This window comes from Homo sapiens, chromosome X, assembly GCF_000001405.40.
Source record: "Homo sapiens chromosome X, GRCh38.p14 Primary Assembly".
Classification (NCBI taxonomy): domain Eukaryota; kingdom Metazoa; phylum Chordata; class Mammalia; order Primates; family Hominidae; genus Homo; species Homo sapiens.
The window spans coordinates 47,555,855-47,578,997 of NC_000023.11; the positions used below are offsets into that span (position 1 = coordinate 47,555,855).

Below are 23,143 nucleotides of genomic sequence, written 5' to 3' on the forward strand. Positions count from 1 at the left end.
CACAAAAAAACCCCCAAAACTCTGTCTGTTAAATGGTGTGTTTTTCATAGGGATAGCAAATTGAAATTACTACTCAATGAATTTTGCTAAGAAAGACTTTTTAATAAGAACAGTTAAAAAGTCATGGTTAAATTCACTTACTTGTAAATTTCCTACACCTCTCCCCCCAGGGTTGTATATTAAAAATCCCTTCTAGGAATGTACAGAAGTGGAAACTTCCACACTCTACTTTTATTAAGGATTTCGATGGAACAATTACTGTTGCCTCATCACTGATTTAAAAGCAACATTAAGTTCCTTGTTTGTAGCCGGTCTCAGGCCCACACACCTCCCATTGGCCACCTCCTGTGCATAGCTATTGGTCTGTCAGTGGCTCCGTGGTGAAGTAGAGCCTATCAATGCCCAGGGTATCCCAAGGCCCGCCTTCTACTGCACTGCTATTGGCAGATCTCGCTGCCTGTTGGGGGGGGCCTGTTGCGGAGAGAGGCTCCCTGGGTTGGCAGAGAGGAGCTGGTGGTTGAGGGGCCTGAGTCAAACCTGTGTTCCCGGTCTCAGAGAAATGTGCATGCACGGTCAACTCCCCCGAAATGAACAGCTGAGAGGACGGCGGTGGGAGGGGGTCCCAGAGATGGCGCTCTCCAGGCCGCAGCAGGGGCCGGTGAGGTCGGCGGCTTTGGAAAATGAGAGTCGCACGTTTTAGAGGAGGTCCCCAGGCACGCAGGACTGCTGGGTGGATCTGGGATTCCTTAAGGAGGTGCCCATGGCCCGCACCCTTGTTAAACACTTTTTATCAAACGAAGTCCTGGAGCACTCTCTCCTTTTCCCCTCTGGTTAGGGCAGCCTGAACCTTAATGTCCTCAGCTATAAAAGTAGCATTACAACGGCAGTCGGTGAACACTTCAGATTTTAAAAAATTTTCAGACATATTTCTGAGACTTTAAAATGAACAACAATAAAAACCAACAAGTACTTTGATAACTTTACATTTTTTTCCAGATGGATAATTACAAGGGGGATGTCAGAAAACTATAATCAACTAGTTTGGGTTTTAATTTTTGTCTTAATACATGGTACTTCTAATGGTTTAAATATGGTGGTGATGATAATGACAAAAAGTCAAAAAGGCCAGGCGCTGTGACATGCGTCTGTGGTCCCAGCTTTCTGGGAAGATGGCTTGAGCCCAGGAGGTCGAGGCCGCAGTGAGCTGTGATTGCACCACTGCACTCCAGCCTGGGTGACAGAGCGAGACTCTGTCGCAAAACAAAAGAAAACCAAACCTAAATCACTTTAAAGGACTTCATGCTTTAAAGTGTCAGGTACCTGTAAGGTACTTGGCTGAAGTGCCAGTTGAGATGGGTGTGAAGTGAGTCTATGAGTCCTTGGGGGAGAAAGCATTGCCTTTGAGTGGGCTATGTCCCCTACCCTTCCCCTCCTTCCCCCATCCTGCAAAAGCAATGAGCTTTTGCTGGCATTTTTCTCATCTTTTTGTAAACGTTGAACGATGGAGCCAGAGGTCTGTCTTCAAATACTGCCTAGAAATTAAAGTTTTTAAACAAATTAAATATTTAAGTGAATTGAAATGTAAAATGCACTCCCCTATTCCCCTCCCCAAAGCCCCTCACTGAGCTCCAAACAGGAGTTGTTCCTGACCCCACTGGCACTGAGGTGTTTGCCAGGGCTCCTGCAGTGGGAGATGGAGATTCAGGGTCTAGGGATTTAATTTCAGAAAAAAGAATTTTTTCAAAATAATTTCTCTAACCAATAAGAATTTCTAAGAAACAAATGTTTAGAATTATGTTTGTGGCCTTCTTCTTTTTTTTTTTTTTTGCCATGCAGTTCTTATTCTGGTATATTACACATAAAGCAAAATATATCCATTTTCAGTGTAGAGTTCAATGAGGCTGGGCAAGGTGGCTCATGCCTGTAATCCCAGCACTTTGGGAGGCCGAGGTGGGAGGATCACTTGAGCCCAGGAGTTTAAGAACAGCCTGGGCAACATAGTGAGACTCCATCTACACAGAAAATTTTAAAAATTAGCTGAGTGTGGTGGTGCATGCCTGTAATCCCAGCTACTTGGGAGGCCGAGGTGGGAGAATTACTTAAGCCCAGGAGGTCAAGGCGCAGTGAGCCATGACCGTGCCACTGCACTCCAGTCTGGGTGACAGAGCCAGACTCTGTCTCAAAAATAAAAAAAGATAATAATAAAAATAGAGTTCAATGAGTTCTGACAAATGCATACAGAACATTCCAATCACCTGCAAAAGTTCTTTAATGCACTTCTCAGTCATTCTCCCTCAAAACAACATCTAATGTGATTTCCTTCACTATAGATTAGTTTTGCCTGGTTTAGATTTCATATGGGTGGAATACAGTATTTCTCTTTTGTGTCTGGCTTTTTTCATTTTGCCCCATGTCTACGAGATTCATCTATGCTCTTCCTATATGTCAGTAATTTATTCCCTTTCATTGCTGAGTAGTATTCCATAATCCCATTGTTGTATTTTTTTGTCAGTTCTGTTTCTGGACACCTGGGCTGTTTCCAGTTTTTTGCTATTAAGAAAAAGCTAATCTGAACATTTGCATACAAGTTTTTGTGCAGACATATTGTAATAGTAGCATGTTGTAGCTGGCTCACCAGAGCGGATTTTGTGCATCTCTTTTAAATCTGGTTCAGCGACTGTCATATTGGTAGCCTGAAATAAGCCATGGGGACAGTACAAATTAGAGCTGTTTTCTTCCTGGAGCGTTGGTTGTCAAACATTTACCAGCACACCATTGGACATGTGTTTTCATTTCTCTAGAGTAAATACCTAGGAGTGAGATTGCTGGATTGATTGCATGGCAGGTCTATGTTTAATTTTATATGAAACTGCCAAACTGTTTCTAAAGTGCTTGTGCCACTTTACACTCCCAATAGCAATGTATGAAAGTTCCAATTGCTCTACATTATCATCAATACATAGTATTGTCAGTCTTTTTAATTTTATCCATTGGAGTTGGGCATGGTGGCTCATGCCTGTAATCCTAGAGTGTTGGGAGAACGAGGCCAGGAGCTCGACACCAGCCTGGGCAACATAGTGAGATCCTGTCTCTAAAAAAAAAAAAAAAATTTTTTTAGCCATTAAATGGTGAAGATCCGAATAGAAAAGTGGAGTTGGGGCCAGGTGTGGTGGCTCAAGCCTGTAATCCCAGCACTTTGGGAGGCCGAGGTGGGCAGATCACTTGAGGTCAGGAGTTTCAGAGCAGCCTGGCCAACATAGTGAAATCCCGTCTCTACTAAAAATATAAAAATTAGCCAGGCATGGTCGTGGGCGCCTGTAGTCCCAGCTACTCAGGAGGCTGAGGCAGGAGAATCACTTGAACCCAGGAGGCGGAGGTTGCAGTGAGCCAAGATCTTGCCACTGTACTCCAGCCTGGGTGACAGAGCAAGGCTCTGTCTCAAAAAAAAAAAAAAAAAAAAAAAAGAAAGAAAAGAAAAGAAAAGAAAAGGGGAGTTGGGAAATGGAAATTATATGGGAGGCCAGTAGGCAGAACTTCTGTCTTCCTTCTTATAGACAGAGAAAGCCATGTGATAAATACAGATTGAAATATGTTGAGGCCCCCCCTCACCTATGACCTTCCTCTGATCTTTCCCATTACATTGCCAAAGGATGCTAAATCTCCAAACAGGAGAATGCAGTCACTTGAAACACAACAGGCCATTCATGGTGTTGGGGAAATAATTAAAAAGAGAATCTCGTGCCAACCCAATGAATCCTCTCCACAAAGTAGACAAGAATGAAAAGTTTTTTTTTGTTTTTTGTTTTATTGAGACAGGGTCACTCTGTCACCCAGGCTGGAGTGCAAGTGGCAAGTGGCGTGATCTCAGCTCACTGCAATCTCTGTCTCCTGGGTTCAAGTGATTCTCCTGCCTCAGCATTCTAGGTAGCTGGGATTACAGGCGCGCGCCACCGCGCCCAGCTGACTTTTTTTTTTTGCATTTTTAGTAAAGACGGGGTTTTGCCATGTTGGCCAGGCTGGTCTCGAACTCCTGGCCTCAAGTGATCCGCCCGCCTTGGCCTCCCAAAGTGCTGGGATTACAGGCATCAGTCACCGCACCCGGCAGGAATGGAAAGTTTTATAACTGAATAAGCATTACACCAGACTGTGATGCACATCACAAACAATCTGCTAAAGAGGTTTCAAAGACAGAAAGAAATCTCATCCGTTTATGTAGCAGGCAGATACAGCCCATTACAAACATATTCTCAAACAATAACTTGTGCTCAAGAAACTTGACGGCACCATTTGGTACACATACTTCATCCCAAATTCACCTGGTAATTAGGGTGGCTATCTGTGTTAGTTAATTGCCTTTATCCAAAGGAAAACGAAAACTCATATCTCTATGACAAGCAGGTAATAACTTGAAGCCAGGCACGCAGATCAAATTCCCACGAAGACAGGGAAAGACAGGGGTGCTATTTTCATTGATGTTTACATTTCAAAGAGATGGCTACAAGGCTCTTAAGAAAAACATTCCGGGGATGTAAAACTGGCAAGAGATTTAGCTTTTAAAAGGACTTACATACATCTCAAAGGGACAGAGAAAATTTTACAGTTACAAGTTTTCTAAAGGAAATGCTCTAAGAGAGACGTCTTTCTCTTTTGACACCAGGGAAAATTCGATCTTTAAAAATTTGTGTTTACCCCACAATACCTCCACACATTGACTGGCATCGTGCTCCCTTCCAGGTCCGCACTTCCCTCTTCACCTGGCCACCTGTGACTAGTTTTTCATAGTCCTAATCAACCCCATTCCTAAAGGAAGCCTCCCAGACAGCAGGCCGCCCCTCCTAGGCCCAGTCCCCCAGCCCCCGCCACACCAGAGACCCGCTGTCCTCAAAGGCTATGAACTACAGTCTCCTAGAGCTGGTGAACATCGCCGATCATTGGTTCTGATTCCAACCCATTTCAAAGATGGTAAAAACTGAGACACGGGAAAATCATAAAAGGGTGCTTAGGGCACTGGCCCAAAAAGGGTACTTAAGGATTTCTCCGCCCAGATGCCAAAGCCCTAAGGTCAGCCCCAAATGACCTGTGTTCTGCTTTATACGTCTATGCCACTGTTGGGGTTAAAGCCCTAGGCACGCAGGTCTTGCCTCAACTGCGCCTGCGCGAGTCAGGACGAGCGCTTGCCCCAGATCTTGACGTTTCAGGCGGCCCCTCCTAATCCGGAACACGACTCACATTCCGTTGGTCTTGCCTTGACAGACGTGACCCTGACCCAATAAGGGTGGAAGGCTGAGTCCCGCAGAGCCAATAACGAGAGTCCGAGAGGCGACGGAGGCGGACTCTGTGAGGAAACAAGAAGAGAGGCCCAAGATGGAGACGGCGGCGGCTGTAGCGGCGTGACAGGTGAGGGCGGGCCCGGGAGGGCTCGGTTTCTGGAGCGGCTGCCGGGCACGGGCAGGGAGCCCGGACCGAAAGCTCAGCTCCAGGATGGCTGCGCCTGGGCCCCGGCGTTCCCTGCCCGGAACCGGAGGAGTGGTTTGACCCGGGGCGAGACCATCGTCGACAGCGGGGGTGGGGTGGGTAACAGGAATAGGCGGGCAAGGCTGCGGGTGATGGTTTCGCCCGCTGCTAGTGGTGGTGCGCCTGCGCAGAGCCGGAAGCCCTTTGGTAGGCGGGACCCGACCGAGTGGTGCCGGGATTCCGTCTTAACCCCCGCTAAGGTGTCCAATGACCTTTCCTTACCAACTGCGGGGAGTGTGTGGAAACGCGGTTCACTCCCCGGTTTCCTTATTCTGGATCAGTGTCTGACCGCCCCCGCCGGGAGAATGTCAGGATTCTCGCCTCTGTAACCGCCTTCCATGATCCCTCATTCAGTTTAGACCAGTAATATGCCTGTGACCCCTCACAGGTTGTCAAGGAGAATTTTGGAGCTCCCTCTTTACCTCCATTTTTCTCCCCGCAACACCATACCTTCCTTCTCCTTTTGCTATGACAATGTCTGGTGGTCCACCATTACCTCCCCAGTTCGGCTCAATGTCTGGTCATTTCCATTTCCACCCTTCTCCCCATTACAGTCCCTAGTGACGCCTGTTACATCTCCCTTCCGCATAGTATGTAGTGACCCCCCCCCCCCATGAATTCCTCATCATAGAGGCTTGGGACTTCCATTAGCCACCTAACAACGGTGTCTGTGGTCCTAACATCAACATTACACCCCAGGGCTTAGGGATGTCCACAGTGCCCTTTAAGGACATGTTTGGTGCAACCTCCATCTTCCCCAAACTAAGGGCAGTATCTGATAATCCTCTCTTTCCCATCACCGTGCCTGCGACTCCTCCCTCACCACAGTAACTGGCATTTCCCCCGTTCTCTGTTAAAAAACCAGGACACTTTGGGAGGCTGAGGCGGGTGGATCATCTGAGGTCAGGAGTTCGAGACCAGCCTGGCCAACATGGTGAAACCCCGTCTCTACTAAAAATACAAAAAATTAGCCGGGCGTGGTGGCACACGCCTGTAGTTCCAGCTACTCAGGAGGCTGAGGCGGGAGAATGGCTTCAACTTGGGAGGTGGAGGTTGCAGTGAGCTGAGACCATGCCATTGCACTCCAGCCTGGGCAACAAGAGCGAAACTCTGTCAGAAAAAAAAAAAAACAGAAAAAAAAAAAAAAAAAACCCAGGACATTCTGTTCGTGCTTCTTATGTACCTGACGGCTCAGTGCAGTGTGTACTGACTTCCCCATTGGTCCCCAGCACAGAGTCTTGTGTGCTCCTCTACCCTCCAAGACAGTATGCTCTGTCCCCCTTCCCTGTTCTCTCCCCCGCAACCCTGTGCAGTGAAGCTGAGACCTTGGCACTCAAGAGTGAGACAAGCAACAGGAGGGCCTGAGCAGAGAAGGAACTGGAAGGACTTCAGATGTGAGCAGGATCTCTTGGACTGTCGTGTGAAAATTAGGCTGCAGGGGGCGACAGGAGCCTGGACTTTGAATTTTATTTTGTCCCCTGCCACTTTGCTTCTAGACTATCATTATTGGACCTCTGAATTCTTGTCTGCCTTCTTGTAGGAGCCCCATGGCACCTGCCCAGCCCCACCTCAGCCCATCTTGACAAAATCTAAGGCTCCATGGAGCCACCACGGGGCCCCCCTGCCAATGGGGCCGAGCCATCCCGGGCAGTGGGCACCGTCAAAGTATACCTGCCCAACAAGCAACGCACGGTGGTGAGTCATGGAAGCGAAATGGCAGGGGCTGTGGATGGACCCAGTTGTAACTCTGGGATCAAAAGGGTGACAACGGTTGGGGGAGGCCTTTGCAGAAGGATGGGAACATCAGCTGCGCTTCTGTTGGGCATTGAGGACCCCTACATCTGCACATACACACAGGTGACTGTCCGGGATGGCATGAGTGTCTACGACTCTCTAGACAAGGCCCTGAAGGTGCGGGGTCTAAATCAGGACTGCTGTGTGGTCTACCGACTCATCAAGGGGTGAGTGTGGCAGCCCCACGCCCACCCACTGGGTGTCCCACCTCCCATCCCCTCCTCAGTCATTTGATTCCTTCTGTACTTTATCACAGAGTCTTCCATTAGTCTTCCCTTAGTCTTTAGTCCCCCCTTATCTGCAGGGTACATGTTCCAAGACCCCCAGTGGATGCTTGAAACCATAGATAGTACCGAACCCAATTGCTATCAGTCGGAACATGTTTCTATTCTTGTCTTCTACCCATAAATGTAATGCCTTTTCCGTCTTAACTAAGCACGTATCATGCACTCCGGCCATCACTTTTGCAGTTTGAGGTATGACATCAAAACTAGCATGAATTTATTTTTCCTTCTTCACAATTCCAAAGATGGAAGATTCTTTCTTACAGTAGATCTCAGCAACCTCAGCATATGATTTTCTTTTAAGTCAAGAACTTTTACCTTTTTGCTTAAAGGAAGCACATTACAGCTTCTCTTTGGCATGTCCGAATTGCCACCAACACTACTCTTGTGCTTTTGGGCCATTATTAAGTAAAATGGCGGTCACTTGAAGACAGCCACTATGATATTGAGTCAGTTGTTTGATAACTGAGCAGGCTACTAAGTGATGGGCGGTAGCGTAGACAGTGTGGATCTGCTAGATAAAGAGGTGATTCACATCCTGGGTGGGATGGTGCAGGATTTCATCACGCTACTCAGAATGCACGTAATTTAAAACTTATGAATTGTTTATTTCTGCAATTTTCAATTTAATACTTTCCCACCCGGTTGACCACAGGTAACTGAAACCATGGAGAGTGAAACCACAGATAAGGGAGGACTACTGTAGTTCAAGTAATCTATGAGTTCATCCATCTTTTGTTTTGTTACTTCATTGGTTTATTGGCCTGTAAGGTCAGCAACTCATTCTCCCCTGGCCCCCAAGTCCTCACCCTGGTCCATCACTTCTGCCCAGATTTCATCTATTTTGTCCTTTCACGATGTCATGACTTCATCAGGTCTCTTCTTCCTCATTTTCCCCATTCTCTGTCTGCTGAGTTGGGTCTTGCTGACTTTATTTATTCCTCTCTCGTGGGTTTCCTTAATTTATGATGCAGTTCACACACTGCACTTTATTTGTTGTTTCAGTGCCTCCTCAGCCCCCTTTTCAGGGGCTGGCTTAGCGCTTCTAAGATGTAGTTGTTTAGTTTCATTTGCTTCTCCCCTTCCGTTTCAGAGCATGGACTCTTCACACCGTCATGCCTCTCATTACCCTTGTGGCCCAGGGCCAGTCACTTTATCCCTCTGAGCCTGTTTCCCCATCTGTAAAGTTGGGGCAAGGATAGTGACTAATTTCTAGAGTTGCTGTGATGAGAATTAAACATGCCAGACATGACCCTGTGGGTAGCAGGCTTGGAGGGACTTGTGGGGGTTCCCTGCCTCCCCATGGCCCCTACCCAACCTCCCACTCATTCCTTTCCATGCCCCCTGCAGACGAAAGACGGTCACTGCCTGGGACACAGCCATTGCTCCCCTGGATGGCGAGGAGCTCATTGTCGAGGTCCTTGAAGATGTCCCGCTGACCATGCACAATTTTGTGAGTGCAGGGTGGACGGTGGGGGTGGACCATGGTTGGGGGTGTCCTTGACCAGGTCTCAAACTTCCCTGCTCTGTGGCATCAGGTACGGAAGACCTTCTTCAGCCTGGCGTTCTGTGACTTCTGCCTTAAGTTTCTGTTCCATGGCTTCCGTTGCCAAACCTGTGGCTACAAGTTCCACCAGCATTGTTCCTCCAAGGTCCCCACAGTCTGTGTTGACATGAGTACCAACCGCCAACAGTGAGCCCAGCCTGGGGTGGGTGGGGGGATGGGGAGCACAGAGGCCCAGCCACGAGGCCCTTACAGACAGCTGACCCGTGTCCCCTTGCTTTATACCCTTCATGCCCTCAAGGTTCTACCACAGTGTCCAGGATTTGTCCGGAGGCTCCAGACAGCATGAGGCTCCCTCGAACCGCCCCCTGAATGAGTTGCTAACCCCCCAGGGTCCCAGGTAGGGATGCCTTAGCTGAAGAGCTGCTGGGGGAGAAAAAGATCTTGGGGCTCTTGTAGACCACGAGCCATACTTTATTCATTTGTTTACTTGACAAACATTTATTGAGCACCTACAAGTGTGAGTAAGGGCATGAAACTGGGACCTTGGGCAAGTCACCTCATTTCTCTGGGCCTCAGTTTTCTCATCTGTAAAGAGGGGATGATGATACTTTCTACCATATAAAGGTTCTGGTGAGGCTTAAATGAGTTAAGACATGTTCAGTGCCTAGAACAGGATCTGGTACAGTGTAAATAATCAATTTTTTTGTTATTAATTATAAATATATTTATAAGCATCTAACTACTTTGCTAATTCTAGTATAATCATACTCAAGCCTTTCCATTTTGAAATACGTATTATTTTATCATAAATTACTTCCCTTTTATTGCTTTTTTATGTTAAATATTATATAAAACTATAGCTATATTAAAATATATTATTGCTCTAATATATATTTTATGATGTGCATATTTTATGGTATATTTATGTTATTGTATCATGTTGTATTACATAATTTTATATAATGTAGAACATCATACATGTTTATATGATACATAAAATAAAGTTAGGGTATTATTTTAAATTATGAGTGTATGTGCATTAATTACCTTTGAGTTTCATTTCAGGATAGTGAAGGGAACATTAACATATTTTTGTAACTTTACAATATGTTTAGCATATATCATATGTATAACATGTATGTATAACAATATGGTAATATGTATATTTTAAAACATTGCCATTTTTATATAGATGATACATATTATATAACATTTGAAAAGTACATGTAATTATAATATATAATTATAAAATATGATACATTACCCTTTCCCCACTATCTGTGTGGCCTGCTATCCTGCCTTTAGGCGTTTACTCCATTGTCATCTCCTCCTCAGAGAAACCTTTCCTGACACTTTCTAGGAACACTTTGTGTCTCCTTATTTTGCTTTACTATTTTTCTTTATTGCACCTATCACCATCAGGCATATTATATATTTGTTTTTTATTTCAGCCCCACCAGGGCAAGAACTGTTATTTTGTTTTACAGTTTTATCTCCACCACCTAGAATGGTATCTGGCACACAGCAGGCACTCAATAAATGTTTCTTGAAGCAATGAATAATAGTACTGCCAGTGGACATTCGCTCTGTGTGAGCCAAATGCATGTTTATGGCTGGGGGTGGGGTGGGGGGCTTTCTCGGTTCTCTGATTCCTGGCAGTGATTTCACAGCCTTTCCCCTGGCAGCCCCCGCACCCAGCACTGTGACCCGGAGCACTTCCCCTTCCCTGCCCCAGCCAATGCCCCCCTACAGCGCATCCGCTCCACGTCCACTCCCAACGTCCATATGGTCAGCACCACGGCCCCCATGGACTCCAACCTCATCCAGGTTGGTGCTGTGGGGGACAATGCCGGGGACCACAGGGCAGAGGGTAGAGCCATCCCTGTTGGCCTCCATGCCCTCTTTTTGACTCCTGTCCCTCTTCTTCTAGCTCACTGGCCAGAGTTTCAGCACTGATGGTGAGTCCCCTGTGCCTGCACCCTGACCCCCGCTGCCCCACTTACCTCCACTCACATCCTCTCTGCAACTGCAGCTGCCGGTAGTAGAGGAGGTAGTGATGGAACCCCCCGGGGGAGCCCCAGCCCAGCCAGCGTGTCCTCGGGGAGGAAGTCCCCACATTCCAAGTCACCAGCAGAGCAGCGCGAGCGGAAGTCCTTGGCCGATGACAAGAAGAAAGTGGTATGCTCGAGGGGGATCCTTTTGGGGCCACCAAGGCTGAGTGACGTGGGATGAGGGATGTGGGCAGGCCTCTTAGATGCCACCCATCTGGCCCACAGAAGAACCTGGGGTACCGGGACTCAGGCTATTACTGGGAGGTACCACCCAGTGAGGTGCAGCTGCTGAAGAGGATCGGGACGGGCTCGTTTGGCACCGTGTTTCGAGGGCGGTGGCATGGCGATGTGGCCGTGAAGGTGCTCAAGGTGTCCCAGCCCACAGCTGAGCAGGCCCAGGCTTTCAAGAATGAGATGCAGGTGCTCAGGTGAGGTGGCATGTGTGCGTGGATGGGGGTGGCAGGCCCGGCCTTGGCATCTCTCTGGGAAAAGGCCATGCTTGGAGTGCTTCCTGGACATCACCTGTGTTTGTGTTGTTAAACCATCATCAGAAGTTGTTTCTCTCTGAAGGGTGTCCCTTTCCCCTCTGGGAAATGAGTATGTTTAGAGGACCTGTGATCATGCAGTTGTTTGTGTTTGGGTTATTAATGAATGGTTCTGCCTCCAAAATGTGGGTCTTCTCATTTGCCTGCTGCGAACTGGGTCTGTGTGTGGGCCACCATTCTTGTTACTGCATTGCCAGGAAGGCTTCCATCTTTCCTTCCCCTCTGCTTGGGCTACAATGGTAATGTTCTGTTTATAGTGTTGGTTCTTGTTATTCATTAATTCTAATACCTTGATTTAAACAATATTATCATCATCACCATAATCTAATCATTGCTTAATTATTATAATTGCTGTAATATGTAATCAATACAGTATTCATCTAGTCACGCTAAGAAAGCCAGGTGTCTCCTTTTTGCTGCTATAGTTACTATGTAGCATAGTACTGTATACCTATATACTACAGGTAGTACTGGATAGCGTCTACCAACCCTGGGGATGTTGGCATTGGCTTTTCCTCTGTGTCAGATGGGCACAATTATGTTACAGAGAATAAGGTAGCTAATGCAATGATCAGTTTTACAGTTGAGGAACATGAGGCCCAGAGAGGTTAAATGTCTTTCCCAAGGTTGTACCTTGAGTACCTGGTGAGGCCTAGATTTGAACATGAGTCCAGACTCCAAGCTCTTTACCTCTAAGCTTCTCATGCTGCTGAACAGGCTCTAATCATCATATATCACCAATGTTTTAATCCTGCATCTATCCATATTATATTGATACATCAGTGAGGAAGGTTGGCATTCTGCTTTCTCATCTGTGAGATGGTCACAGACCCAGGTAATGGTCAGAGTCAGAGGGGTGGGGGATGTTAATGATTAGAAATGCTGCTGTAGGCAGGGAGGGGGAGGGGCAGCAATTCCTCCCTCCTGCTTTTGTTGGGAGACTCGGATGGGGAAGCTCCACATATGAGCCCACAGCACAGAATCATAGCCCAGTAAACACATCTCACAAATTCATGGAATCTGGCAATGCTTTGGTCCTGAGTGCCCCAAAAGACAGGGTGAAAATAAATGACCGAGGAAGGTAAAGAACAGTGCCACTCCTGATGCTCGGTAAGTGACAGTTGCTATTTTTCCTCCCCACCTCTGACACTGCCCTCCCTGCCTGCAGGAAGACGCGACATGTCAACATCTTGCTGTTTATGGGCTTCATGACCCGGCCGGGATTTGCCATCATCACACAGTGGTGTGAGGGCTCCAGCCTCTACCATCACCTGCATGTGGCCGACACACGCTTCGACATGGTCCAGCTCATCGACGTGGCCCGGCAGACTGCCCAGGGCATGGAGTGAGCCTCCCAGCCTGGGGAGGGGTGGGGGGAAAGGGTGGGGGAAATGAGGTAACCCCCAGCCAATCCGCCACCTGCCTCCACCCCCACAGCTACCTCCATGCCAAGAACATCATCCACCGAGATCTCAAGTCTAACAGTATCTATCTGTCCCTGGGCTGGGGTTGAGTGGGGGTGTCAAGGGCTTAGAAGGATGCCTCTTGTGGGGGTTCTGGGAATTACAAGGGAGGGGCATGTGTCCCAGAGCTCCTTGCCAGGTGGCAGAGCTGTGGCCAGCCAGGGGGCTTTAATGGCAGTCTCTTAGAAGTCAGAGGTGTGGCTGGTTCAGGTACTATTCTTGGGGACTCTGGTTAGAGTCTGATGTCTGACAGTTGTGGAGGGCATTATGGTCAACATCAGAGGCATAGTGGGTTCGGATGCCCTCCGAGGGGCTTCCTGTTCAGGAGTCACAGCGGGGCTGAGTGTGGGGGGCATTAGCAGGCGTTCCCTGCCCACGTCAAGGTTGTGGATAGTTTGCGTGATATTAAGGGGCTCCTGGTCAGGATCAGAGGGATGAGTGGTATAGGGGCACCAATGGGAACCTCCCAGGCAGGGTGAGAGGCATGGCTATTAGGAGTCCCTGTAGTGGTCCTTGACCCTGGCGGACATCTTCCTACATGAGGGGCTCACGGTGAAGATCGGTGACTTTGGCTTGGCCACAGTGAAGACTCGATGGAGCGGGGCCCAGCCCTTGGAGCAGCCCTCAGGATCTGTGCTGTGGATGGTGAGTTGGGCCAGGCTGGATGGGGGGCACATGGGGACGTGGGCTCCGGGATTGGGGTGTGTGGGGCCAAGTGGGGACGGGGATGCCTGTGCCAGATGTGGGTGTCTGGACTCCTCATGTCCCACCTCGTGTGGGTGGCTCTGAGTTGTACCCTGTGTGGCCAGTGGGATCTGGGACTGTGGACCAGCCATTTGCTGACCTCCGTGGTCCCCCTGCCTGGTCTGGCCTGTTGTAGGCAGCTGAGGTGATCCGTATGCAGGACCCGAACCCCTACAGCTTCCAGTCAGACGTCTATGCCTACGGGGTTGTGCTCTACGAGCTTATGACTGGCTCACTGCCTTACAGCCACATTGGCTGCCGTGACCAGGTGAGCCCCACACCTTACCCACAGTTCCCTGGGCTGAGGGATCCCCTCAGGCATCCATACCCCACATCCCCTCCTTTGCACTGATAAATGCCACACTTTCCCCAGAAACCTAAAATTTTCTAGGATAAGGACTCCCAGAATCCCTTGGGCTCCAGACACTTACAATAAATTCTCTGGGTCTCCCCTACCCCAACTTCCCTCTTCTCACATCCACAGCCCTCTGGGACAAAAATCTTTGAAGTCCAAAATGCCCCGAATCTCTATACCTAGAATCCCCTGAGGCCCCCAAATACCCCAAAGCCCTCTGTATCCCTAGACGCCTATAGTCGTCTGCTCTGGGTACTCAAAATCCCCCAGATCCTCAAAGCCCAGATCTCATTTCTCCCAGCATCCCATTTTTCCCCAGAAACAGAACCCCTTTGTGCTTCTGGAATAGTCATGGACACCCACAGTCACCTAGGCCTTGGGTATCTAGCAGGCCCCAGGGCCGGGATACCTAGAACCCTCTAGGCCCCAGACCCCCACAGAAGTACAAGCTCCCCCAGACCCAGAACTCCATGTTTTCCCGAGACTCAGTACTTTCCAGGTCCCTAAGCCTCCTAGAAACCCGTGGGCCTATAATCCTCTGAGCCCCAGATACCTACAATCCTTGACAACCCCAAATTTAAATCCCTCTGTTCTGAAAGCAGAGAATCCTCCCAAGTCCTCAAGGACAGAGAATCCTCTGGGCCTTGATACTGACAGTACCCCAGCTCGCTAAAAATGAACCTTCCAAGTCCCTCAATACAAAATTCCTTGGGCCTCCCAGCCCCTGACCCCAGATCACCCCTTTCCTGCCCCCGTCTGCCCCCAGATTATCTTTATGGTGGGCCGTGGCTATCTGTCCCCGGACCTCAGCAAAATCTCCAGCAACTGCCCCAAGGCCATGCGGCGCCTGCTGTCTGACTGCCTCAAGTTCCAGCGGGAGGAGCGGCCCCTCTTCCCCCAGGTGGGCTGGGTAGGGGGCTGGACACCTTGGGTGGGTGACTCTGGGATAGAGGAAGACTGAGATGGAGGCAGATGTGAATATGAAAGCTCAGAGGTATAGTGTGTGTGTGTGTGTGTGTGTGTGTGTGTGTTTCACCATGAGGCTGGGACTGTTGGGGGTGTGTGTGTATGTGTGTTTCGCCATGAGGCTGGGACTGTTGGGTGTGTGTGTGTGTGTGTGTGTGTGTGTGTGTGTGTTTCGCCATGAGGCTGGGGCTGTTGGGATGCCCACAGGGCTCTGGACACCCCTCCTCACCCCCACCTGCCCTCAGATCCTGGCCACAATTGAGCTGCTGCAACGGTCACTCCCCAAGATTGAGCGGAGTGCCTCGGAACCCTCCTTGCACCGCACCCAGGCCGATGAGTTGCCTGCCTGCCTACTCAGCGCAGCCCGCCTTGTGCCTTAGGCCCCGCCCAAGCCACCAGGGAGCCAATCTCAGCCCTCCACGCCAAGGAGCCTTGCCCACCAGCCAATCAATGTTCGTCTCTGCCCTGATGCTGCCTCAGGATCCCCCATTCCCCACCCTGGGAGATGAGGGGGTCCCCATGTGCTTTTCCAGTTCTTCTGGAATTGGGGGACCCCCGCCAAAGACTGAGCCCCCTGTCTCCTCCATCATTTGGTTTCCTCTTGGCTTTGGGGATACTTCTAAATTTTGGGAGCTCCTCCATCTCCAATGGCTGGGATTTGTGGCAGGGATTCCACTCAGAACCTCTCTGGAATTTGTGCCTGATGTGCCTTCCACTGGATTTTGGGGTTCCCAGCACCCCATGTGGATTTTGGGGGGTCCCTTTTGTGTCTCCCCCGCCATTCAAGGACTCCTCTCTTTCTTCACCAAGAAGCACAGAATTCTGCTGGGCCTTTGCTTGTTTATTTTGTTTCCCGACTCTTCTCTTGGGGTTCAGAGCCGCTGAGGGGTGGGGTGAGTCCAGGCAAGGAGTGAAGGTCAGGGGGAGGTGCGGACCACATAAACAGCGTCACTGCACGCATCACCACAGGCGGCACGATGAACGAGGACCACATATGCCAAGCACGGCACAAAAGGAGGCCACGTCAGTCACAGACACAGACACCACAGCAAAGGTGGGGAAGCGGAGACCACTGGCCTTCCGTGTGCAAAGGATTCTGGGAAGATGGGTGGAGTTTGCATATTTAAAGACAGCTGTCAGAGGCAGGAAACTGGGGAGGGGGTCCCTGGGGGAACCGAGGGGTCCTGGAAGTGGGAGGGGCTCCCAAGGTATTGAATGAGGTTGAGGGGAGCTGGTGAAGGGAAATCCTTGTGGGGCTAGGTGTTGGGTGGCATTTGAAGATGTGGATCTTCAGAGGGATGGAAGATCCATGGGAAGGGGCTCAACAGTAGGGGTTTCTTGAGGATTTGGAAAATTATGATGGGAAATAGGTGTGCTGGAGAGATTTGGGACCAAAAATAGGGTTTTCCAGGAACTTCAGGGCTCCAGGAAGGGATTCTGCAATGGGTTGCCTGGTATTTGGGCACTTCCAGGAAGGAAAACGCCCTCTGGGGAAACCAGGGGCGGAGGTCTTCAGGAATGTGGAGGTTCTAAAACAGAAGTAGATCCTGAAGTGACCACGAGTGGGGTTCTAAAAGGACTTGGGGATTCCACATGTGAGAACCGGATTTAGGGCCAGGAGGAGTCAGGTTTCTCAAGGTACTCGGGGATCTTGAGGAATGAGAGGTGGAATCTTGGAGAACCGGGAGATGGGTTCTCAAGGGATTTGGAGACTCCAAAAGTGAGAAATGGATTCAGGGCCCAGAGAAGGGTTGCCCAGGGATTTTGGGGTTCTCAGAGTGGGGTATCAGTCGGAGAAGAGGCTGGCGAAAGACTTCCTCAGGCTGCGGATGGTCTCAGCTTTCACCTCGTCCTGGCTAAGGCTGGGCCTGGGCGGGGCTGGCTCTGGAAGGTTGAAGGCATTGGTCAGAGACTGGGATTTGCTAGAGAGAGACAAGGTGGAGGCGTGGGAGGAAGGGGGAAGAGGAAGGGGAGGAAGGGGAGAGAAACACAACGTTACCCCAGGCCCAGCCCCAGCCCTGCCCCTCTGATCCTGGGGCTGTGCCTGTGACCTCCCCACCTGCCACCATGGGCCTGGACCCTAACAGGTTCTCAAGGCTGGGAGCACTCAGGTGGAGTGGGTGGAGTCCTGGGCCAGGGAGGCGAGATCTGGGACAGGCTGGGAGGACTTGGATCCAGGGTGAAGTGTGGGATTCGTGGCAAGAGTCCTGGGCAGAACCTTCTCTGTGAATTCTTGGCTAGTTTGATACAAAGGGGAAGATGAGCAGGGAAGTTTCCAATCTAAGGGTGAGGTGTCTAGGAGGGCATAGAAAGGGCTTGGACCAAGGACAGGCTGTTGGGCAAGTCAGCCTAAGGCAGAGCAGCTGGGTGGGGCAGGGAGGACGTCTGAGCTGGGATGGGAGTTGGAATGGACCAGAAAAGGCAGATGGGTGATGATTCGCGGGGAGACTGAGATGGGCCAGAAGGATGTGAAGGAGGAGGAAAAGTATGAGGATGGAGTGGGAAGAGCCAGATGATAGGAGGACTAGGACTCGGGCCAGGAGTTTTAGGGATGGGTTGGTGGCGGGGGGGCGAGTTTGGCAGGGAAGGCTCTGGGCTGGGCAGGAAGTTGCAGAGGGTGGGTCAGCCAGGTGCCTGGGAGGCCCTGGAGGAGGAAACTTTCCCAGGGCCTTTGAGGAGGAATTCGAACTGAGTGCAGTTTCTCTGGGATTCTGGCACCAAATTCCTGGGGTGGGGGTGCGGAGCCTCTGGTGGGCCGGGAGGAGCGAAAGCTTGGGGGAAGGGCTTGGCTCAGGCTGGAGAGAGTTCGTGGGACCCCTGCATAGGACCTGGGTCTGAGGAGCAAGGGAGCTAGGGCTGCTCTACTGGGGCAGCGGCCCGCTTTGTGAGCAGCAAGGCGAAGGCTGCTGTAGGGGTCCCCTTACTTGAGCTGGGGGTGCGGAGGTCCCCCTGCAGCGGCGGTGGCGGGTGGCGGCACGTCCTGGCTGGGTTTCTGGGCCAGCTGTGGTTTGGGACGTCCAGCGGGGCCCGGGCCGCTGGGCCGAGGCTGCTGCGTGGTGGGTGGCCCAGTGCGGGGCACGGGACCCGCCTGGCTGGCCTGGCGTGTGGGGCCGGCTGGGCCTGGGGGTTTCTGGGGCGGGCCCTGGCGCTGCTGCCCGCCCGGTGGGGCCCCAGAGGCCTTTGGCGGAGCCGGGCCAGAGACGGATGTCTGACGGGTAGCCTGTGGGGGGCCCGCCTGGCGCTGGGGAGACGGAGAGGCGGGCGGGCGGGCTGCTGGAGGCGCCCCGGGGCCTCCCGCCACTGGCCGGGATTGGCGGCCTTGACCCTGGGTCGGCGGCGCGGCCTGGGACGCGGGCTGCTGGGGCGCTGAGGTGGGACTTGGAAGGCGCTGGGGCAGGGGGCTGCCAGCTGGGGGTCCAAGGCCTGAAAGGTGCTGCTGGCCCTGCGGGGGCGGGCGCTGCTGCAATGGGGGTCCCTGGCGCTGGGGGCCTGGACCCGGCTGTGGAGGGCCGCCTGGGGGACAGAGGGAGAGAAAGAGCACACGTGAGAGTGAGCGGGTAAGAGATGGCGGGCTGAGGGAGGGGACTGCGACCGCCAGCCTCTCGCTTACCCTGTGGTGGGGGTCGCTGCTGAGCCGGGGGCCCTGCGGGCTGCTGGGAGGTCTGGCGGCCCAAGGGCAGGGCCCCTGGGGACGGAGTCTGCGGCAGAGGAATGGAGCAGGAGAGGTTAAAAATAGTTACCAGCCAGTGGAGCATCAGCCAGTGATGACACAGGTTCCCTGTGCGCTGGGTGTTGCCCCACTTGTGGCTGAGCTGAGGGTACTCTGGGTTGTGGGGTGGGGGACCTGTTCCCAGGGGCGGGGCAGGGAGGTGCTCAGGGAAGTCAGGGCAGCAGCTGCTTATCAATGTTTTAAACAATTGGCAATCGCAGCCACATGTGTGCAAAGGTGATGCTGTGAGCCTACAGATTATCAGCTTCATGGCACAGCATGACCCAGGGCCGGCCTCCCCACACTAGCTCAAGCCACTAGCTCAGCGCCAGGGGCCTGACCTGGCCATGGGAGCCCCTGCCAGGGGAGGCATCCCGCTGTCGCTGCCGGGGCAGGGCCTGAGCCATCTTGTTGACCACGAGCTCTACGATGAGCTGTTTGTCTTCATCCTGGTGGTCACCAATGAGCGGCATGGAGGAACCCACCACCTGGGGGAAGGAAAGGATCCGTGAGGGGAGAGGCAGGCCTCGCACCTGAGGCGGCAGTAACACCGTGCTTTCAGTTGGCCAAGGGCATGGCCGCCGCTGAGCCCCAGTGTCTGAGGCACTGATTGTGCACGGTGAGGAAGGCTTGTCTGTTCCAAGGTACCTTACAGCTTAGAAGGTGCTTCAGAGCAGGGCTCAGCAAATTAGGGCCCATGGGCCCAACCTGGCCGACCACCTGGTTCTGTATGACCCAGAGCTAAGGATGGGTCTTTAAATTTTGTAACAGTTGAAAAAAATCGAAAGATTTTATAACATGCGAAAATGGCATGAAATTTAAATTTCAATGTCCATAAACAAAGTTTTATTGGAACACAGCCACACTTATTTTTTTAACATATCGTCTATGGCTGCTTTTGCAGAGTTGAGTAGTTACGGCAGAGGCTACGTGGCCTACAAAGCCTAAAATATGTACCGTCTGCTCCTTTACAGAAAATGTTTGCCGATCCCTGCTTCACGGTTTTCTAGGTGCTTTGTCCTTTCCAAAATGCTTTGCTGTCGGTCCAGTTCGCAGAATACTTTAAAGGTTACTAAGTGCCTCGCCATTCACCAAGATGTCTCGATTCGCAGAGCACTAAACAATCTAATAAGGGTTTTGCTAGTCACCAGGGACGTGCAAGTTCAGTCTAGTGTTCTGCCATTGCAAGGGATGGCCCCTTCGAAAGTTCGTCAGGCACCTTACAGTGTACTAAGCACATTGCTGTTGGCTGAGGACCTCTGTGCCATGGAGTGCTTCAGTTTGCACTGCTGCTGCCTGGCATCTGTTCCTCCCTCTACCCCACCTACCCCTGGGTGCTCATACCTCAATGATGTGATCCCTTCCGTCCTTGCCATGTAGCGCTTCCACTGCGCAGATGTCCAGTCCCCCAAAAATCTCTGAGCACGTGTCCACCCACAGCTTGTATCTGCCAAGACAAAGGGTGGGGAAGCCTGTCAGTCTCTCACCTGAGCTGTCGTGCTCCCACCCCCGCTTCCCCTCACACCCTGAGTTCGGGCTGCCCACCTGTCAGACATGGCAATTTGCTCCAGCATCGCAGAGCCAGTATTGGTCTTCCAGTTCCCTGACACTGACGTCCTCCTGGGGGACAAGGGGACAGAAGCTCAGGGGTGCCTCAGCTGCATGAGGCAAGGCAGGGGACCCCTTCCAGGGCTTTGGTCTCTCCACTCACATGTAGGCCTTGTAGTTCTGCCCAATCTTCTGGACACGCACGTCATATTTGGCATCGATGAAGGGCTCGGCAGTGGCATACGTCTTGGTCAGTGCCACGACACTTGCGATGTCCTGGAAGTCATGCTGGTTGTCAACCTTGACCTGTGGAAGTGCGGGCAAGGATCAGGGCCTGGTCAGGATAGGGCAGCTGTGGGGAGTGGGGGTGCCTGGGGGAGCATGTATACATGACACACAGGTGAGGCGAGTACACAAAAATTAGGTGGACATGCCAAGGCGCTCAAGCAGGCACGATCATGGGTCTCCTGTTTTGTATGTGAGCACACAGGCACAAAGTTGGGTGTGTAGAACACTGAGCATACCAAAATGTATTGGATTGTCTACTTTAAATGGGTGAGTTGTAGGGTGTGTGAACTATCTCTCACTAAAGCTGTGAAAAAACTGTGTATGTACAATATACTAATATAGGCATCCAGACACAAAATCAATTGTACACACAACATGCTAAGATACAGAAACTCGGACACAAATTACAAGTCTACTTTCTACGTACACAGAGACAAAATCAGATGGATGTAAAGCACACAGGACCCCAAGACTTTGGAACATAAAAGATCACACCACATCATGTGTGTTCGGCACAGGCATGCATGTACACACAGACACGATGCTGGAGACAAGCAAAATAACAGGACACACAAAATTGGCTGAATGCAGGAGGAAAAAGGGGTCGATGAGGTCAGCTGAATGTGAGAAAACAAAAATCTATTAGGTTGGTGCAAAAGTAATTGTGGTTTTTACCATAAGAACTGGCAAAACCCGCAATTACTTTTGCACCAACCTGATAGATAACGACACCCCAGGAGACGCGATCACACAGAATGACTGGTGTGCATTGCACAAATACACATCTACCTATGCACAGCCCAGCCAGAGACTCACCTTGCCCATCCCAGAGTGTGCGTGCCCCATCTTCACAACCACGGGGTACGTTGTACTGCTGAGCTGGTGGGGAAAAGGCAGAGGAGACATGCTCAGGGCAGAAAGGGTGACCTCCAGGGGTGGGGCGGCACTGAGGGGATCCCAGCCAGTGGGAACTGCATTATGAGTCACTTCCCAGGACACACAGGTCAGAGACAGGCAGGCAGCAGCTGGGGGTCACACAGTGTCTCCACCTCCGGGCCCAGAATTGAACCCAGAGCCCTGTCTGTCTGTCCCTCACTCCACCCCACCAACAAGTTCCAGACGTCCCGCCCCTGCTTTCCCGGGCAGAGGCATGGTATGAGCGTGGGGGACTGTTCCAGTAAAAAGAAAGTTTGTTTTTACAGTGGATGGATGATAGTGAGGCAAGTGTGTGCCAGTGCGTGTGTGTGGGGGTGGGGGGGGTGGGGAGTGGTGGTGAGCATGTAGTGACTGAACCCCTCAGCCAAACCTTGTATGTAAGCCTCACCTGCACACATAAACTATTGAGAGGCATGAGCCCTTGGAACTCAGATGTACATCGCCAAACCCAGAGATGCCAGTGACATTGAGACTGACAGCCAACACAGGCTCAAAGCACATGAGCTCTGGAGCAGCACAGACACCCACACAGTCATTCAGCCAGCCAGGTGCCCATAGCGTGGGTCAGCAGCCAGCACTCCAGGGCAGCACACACTGGACACCCTTAGGCACACAATCAATACTTGGGCACACACCCAGGTTCCCTCCCCTCACCCAAACCCACATCACCATCAGGGGAACACACACAACACAAAAGATTACCCGTCCAATCAAGAGACACACAACTCCACAGGCACACTCCACAGAACCGGGCACATACTCAACACACAGGCACACATAAAACACCCCTAGGCAAATGCACAGCAAATAAGGCCCTACACAACACACAGAGGTGTATGCACTTCTAGGTATTCACATCACCACTGGGACCCGTAAGAGACCCACGCCACATTCCTGGGCATACAAAAAGTATATCTAGACACACACACAACATGCCTTGCCACATATACAATACAGAGAGGCTACACACAACCAGAGACACCCACAACTCAGTTTGCAGAAAACATTCCTGGGCACTCCCACCCCAACACACATACAGTCACACATTCAGGCGAGAGGGATACCTCAAGTCTCCCCCGCTCCTGGATGGGGTAGAGGAAACCAGGTTGGACGGCCCTAGGCTCCCCGCTCCCTCCACCCCCACCCCCACAGCACAGCTGCACAGTGCCCCTCTGGTGGCCCTCCCTCTCGCTGACAAGGTAGAGAGATGGCATTCCCGGAGGGGCTGCTGGGGCGGTGGTGGTTCCCAGTTCCCGACAGGCACAGGAAGCCCGCAGACTCAGGGTGACCGATTGACCTTAAGGCCTCCCTCTGCACACCCCCCCTTCCTCATTTCCCAAATGACTGGCGTCATTATGAGGTGGGCTGAGAGGCACGATGTTGGGACGGGGGTTTGGGGCATCTCTGGGCAGCGGGCCAGGGAAACGATGCCGAGGCGG

General features: G+C 51.4%; 2 protein-coding genes and 1 long non-coding RNA gene across 6 annotated transcripts in view, besides 7 other annotated features; 1 reads left to right on the forward strand and 2 right to left on the reverse strand.

Annotated features, from left to right (window-relative positions):
- Window positions 1-81: 81 nt before the first annotated feature.
- LOC124905184 (uncharacterized) lies at window positions 82-5,585 on the reverse strand. Its single transcript, XR_007068225.1, has 2 exons — window positions 5,230-5,585; window positions 82-2,693 (listed from the first exon to the last, which is right to left on the reverse strand). It is a non-coding gene; the product is annotated as an uncharacterized LOC124905184 (long non-coding RNA).
- Window positions 192-693: an enhancer, noted in NCBI's record as "H3K27ac hESC enhancer chrX:47415445-47415946 (GRCh37/hg19 assembly coordinates)". NCBI's record gives its function as "activates a minimal SCP1, AML or CMV promoter by ChIP-STARR-seq in primed H9 embryonic stem cells {active_cell/tissue: H9 hESC(primed)}" and the evidence as "EXISTENCE:reporter gene assay evidence [ECO:0000049][PMID:30033119]".
- On the forward strand, window positions 5,351-16,054 carry ARAF (A-Raf proto-oncogene, serine/threonine kinase). 3 transcript variants are annotated; one of them, NM_001256196.2, is made up of 16 exons: window positions 5,351-5,397; window positions 7,055-7,209; window positions 7,372-7,475; window positions 8,943-9,045; window positions 9,131-9,285; window positions 9,389-9,496; window positions 10,785-10,926; window positions 11,030-11,057; window positions 11,132-11,277; window positions 11,376-11,578; window positions 12,864-13,040; window positions 13,133-13,179; window positions 13,685-13,803; window positions 14,039-14,170; window positions 15,024-15,158; window positions 15,469-16,054. In NM_001256196.2, the coding sequence occupies exons 2-16, from the start codon at window positions 7,114-7,116 to the stop codon at window positions 15,601-15,603; spliced, it is 1,830 nt and encodes a 609-aa protein (NP_001243125.1). In that variant the 5' UTR covers window positions 5,351-5,397; window positions 7,055-7,113; the 3' UTR covers window positions 15,604-16,054. The 3 variants fall into 3 exon arrangements, with proteins under 3 accessions (NP_001243125.1, NP_001645.1, NP_001243126.1); NM_001654.5 differs by having other exon boundaries at window positions 9,398-9,496; NM_001256197.2 differs by lacking the exons at window positions 10,785-10,926; window positions 11,030-11,057; window positions 11,132-11,277; ... (5 more) ...; window positions 15,024-15,158; window positions 15,469-16,054 and having other exon boundaries at window positions 9,398-10,121.
- Window positions 5,418-5,717: a silencer, noted in NCBI's record as "silent region_20807". NCBI's record gives its function as "represses an Ori minimal core promoter by ATAC-STARR-seq in GM12878 lymphoblastoid cells {active_cell/tissue: GM12878}" and the evidence as "EXISTENCE:reporter gene assay evidence [ECO:0000049][PMID:35858748]".
- Window positions 7,976-8,270: an enhancer, noted in NCBI's record as "tiled region #4668; K562 Activating DNase matched - State 5:Enh". NCBI's record gives its function as "activates a minimal TATA promoter and a strong SV40 promoter by Sharpr-MPRA in K562 cells {active_cell/tissue: K562}" and the evidence as "EXISTENCE:reporter gene assay evidence [ECO:0000049][PMID:27701403]".
- Window positions 16,047-23,143, reverse strand: part of SYN1 (synapsin I) — a 47,957-nt gene continuing 40,860 nt past the window's right edge. Inside the window, exons 6-13 of one of the 2 annotated variants that reach the window (NM_133499.2) lie at window positions 21,585-21,647; window positions 20,644-20,786; window positions 20,478-20,552; window positions 20,277-20,379; window positions 19,274-19,420; window positions 18,834-18,921; window positions 18,148-18,736; window positions 16,047-17,107 (exon numbers count right to left, since the gene is read on the reverse strand). In NM_133499.2, the coding sequence (NP_598006.1) occupies window positions 17,080-17,107; window positions 18,148-18,736; window positions 18,834-18,921; window positions 19,274-19,420; window positions 20,277-20,379; window positions 20,478-20,552; window positions 20,644-20,786; window positions 21,585-21,647 (1,236 nt within the window). In that variant the 3' untranslated portion in view covers window positions 16,047-17,079. Of the gene's footprint in view, window positions 17,146-18,147; window positions 18,737-18,833; window positions 18,922-19,273; window positions 19,421-20,276; window positions 20,380-20,477; window positions 20,553-20,643; window positions 20,787-21,584; window positions 21,648-23,143 lie in introns of both variants that reach the window. The other variant, NM_006950.3, reaches the window with a different exon arrangement.
- Window positions 18,946-19,453: an enhancer, noted in NCBI's record as "H3K27ac-H3K4me1 hESC enhancer chrX:47434199-47434706 (GRCh37/hg19 assembly coordinates)". NCBI's record gives its function as "activates a minimal SCP1, AML or CMV promoter by ChIP-STARR-seq in primed H9 embryonic stem cells {active_cell/tissue: H9 hESC(primed)}" and the evidence as "EXISTENCE:reporter gene assay evidence [ECO:0000049][PMID:30033119]".
- Window positions 19,454-19,960: an enhancer, noted in NCBI's record as "H3K27ac-H3K4me1 hESC enhancer chrX:47434707-47435213 (GRCh37/hg19 assembly coordinates)". NCBI's record gives its function as "activates a minimal SCP1, AML or CMV promoter by ChIP-STARR-seq in primed H9 embryonic stem cells {active_cell/tissue: H9 hESC(primed)}" and the evidence as "EXISTENCE:reporter gene assay evidence [ECO:0000049][PMID:30033119]".
- Window positions 20,053-20,553: an enhancer, noted in NCBI's record as "H3K4me1 hESC enhancer chrX:47435306-47435806 (GRCh37/hg19 assembly coordinates)". NCBI's record gives its function as "activates a minimal SCP1, AML or CMV promoter by ChIP-STARR-seq in naive H9 embryonic stem cells {active_cell/tissue: H9 hESC(naive)}" and the evidence as "EXISTENCE:reporter gene assay evidence [ECO:0000049][PMID:30033119]".
- Window positions 21,596-21,890: an enhancer, noted in NCBI's record as "tiled region #5152; HepG2 Activating non-DNase unmatched - State 10:DNaseD, and K562 Activating DNase matched - State 8:EnhW". NCBI's record gives its function as "activates a minimal TATA promoter and a strong SV40 promoter by Sharpr-MPRA in HepG2 and K562 cells {active_cell/tissue: HepG2 | K562}" and the evidence as "EXISTENCE:reporter gene assay evidence [ECO:0000049][PMID:27701403]".

Excerpts from the sequence above, each read along its gene's own strand:
- ARAF (NM_001256196.2), top strand. The coding sequence starts at position 7,114 with ATGGAGCCACCACGGGGCCCCCCTGCCAATGGGGCCGAGCCATCCCGG. Across the intron at positions 9,046-9,130 it reads CGCTGACCATGCACAATTTT|GTACGGAAGACCTTCTTCAG; the intron begins GTGAGTGCAGGG and ends CTGTGGCATCAG. Across the intron at positions 11,579-12,863 it reads AATGAGATGCAGGTGCTCAG|GAAGACGCGACATGTCAACA; the intron begins GTGAGGTGGCAT and ends CCCTGCCTGCAG.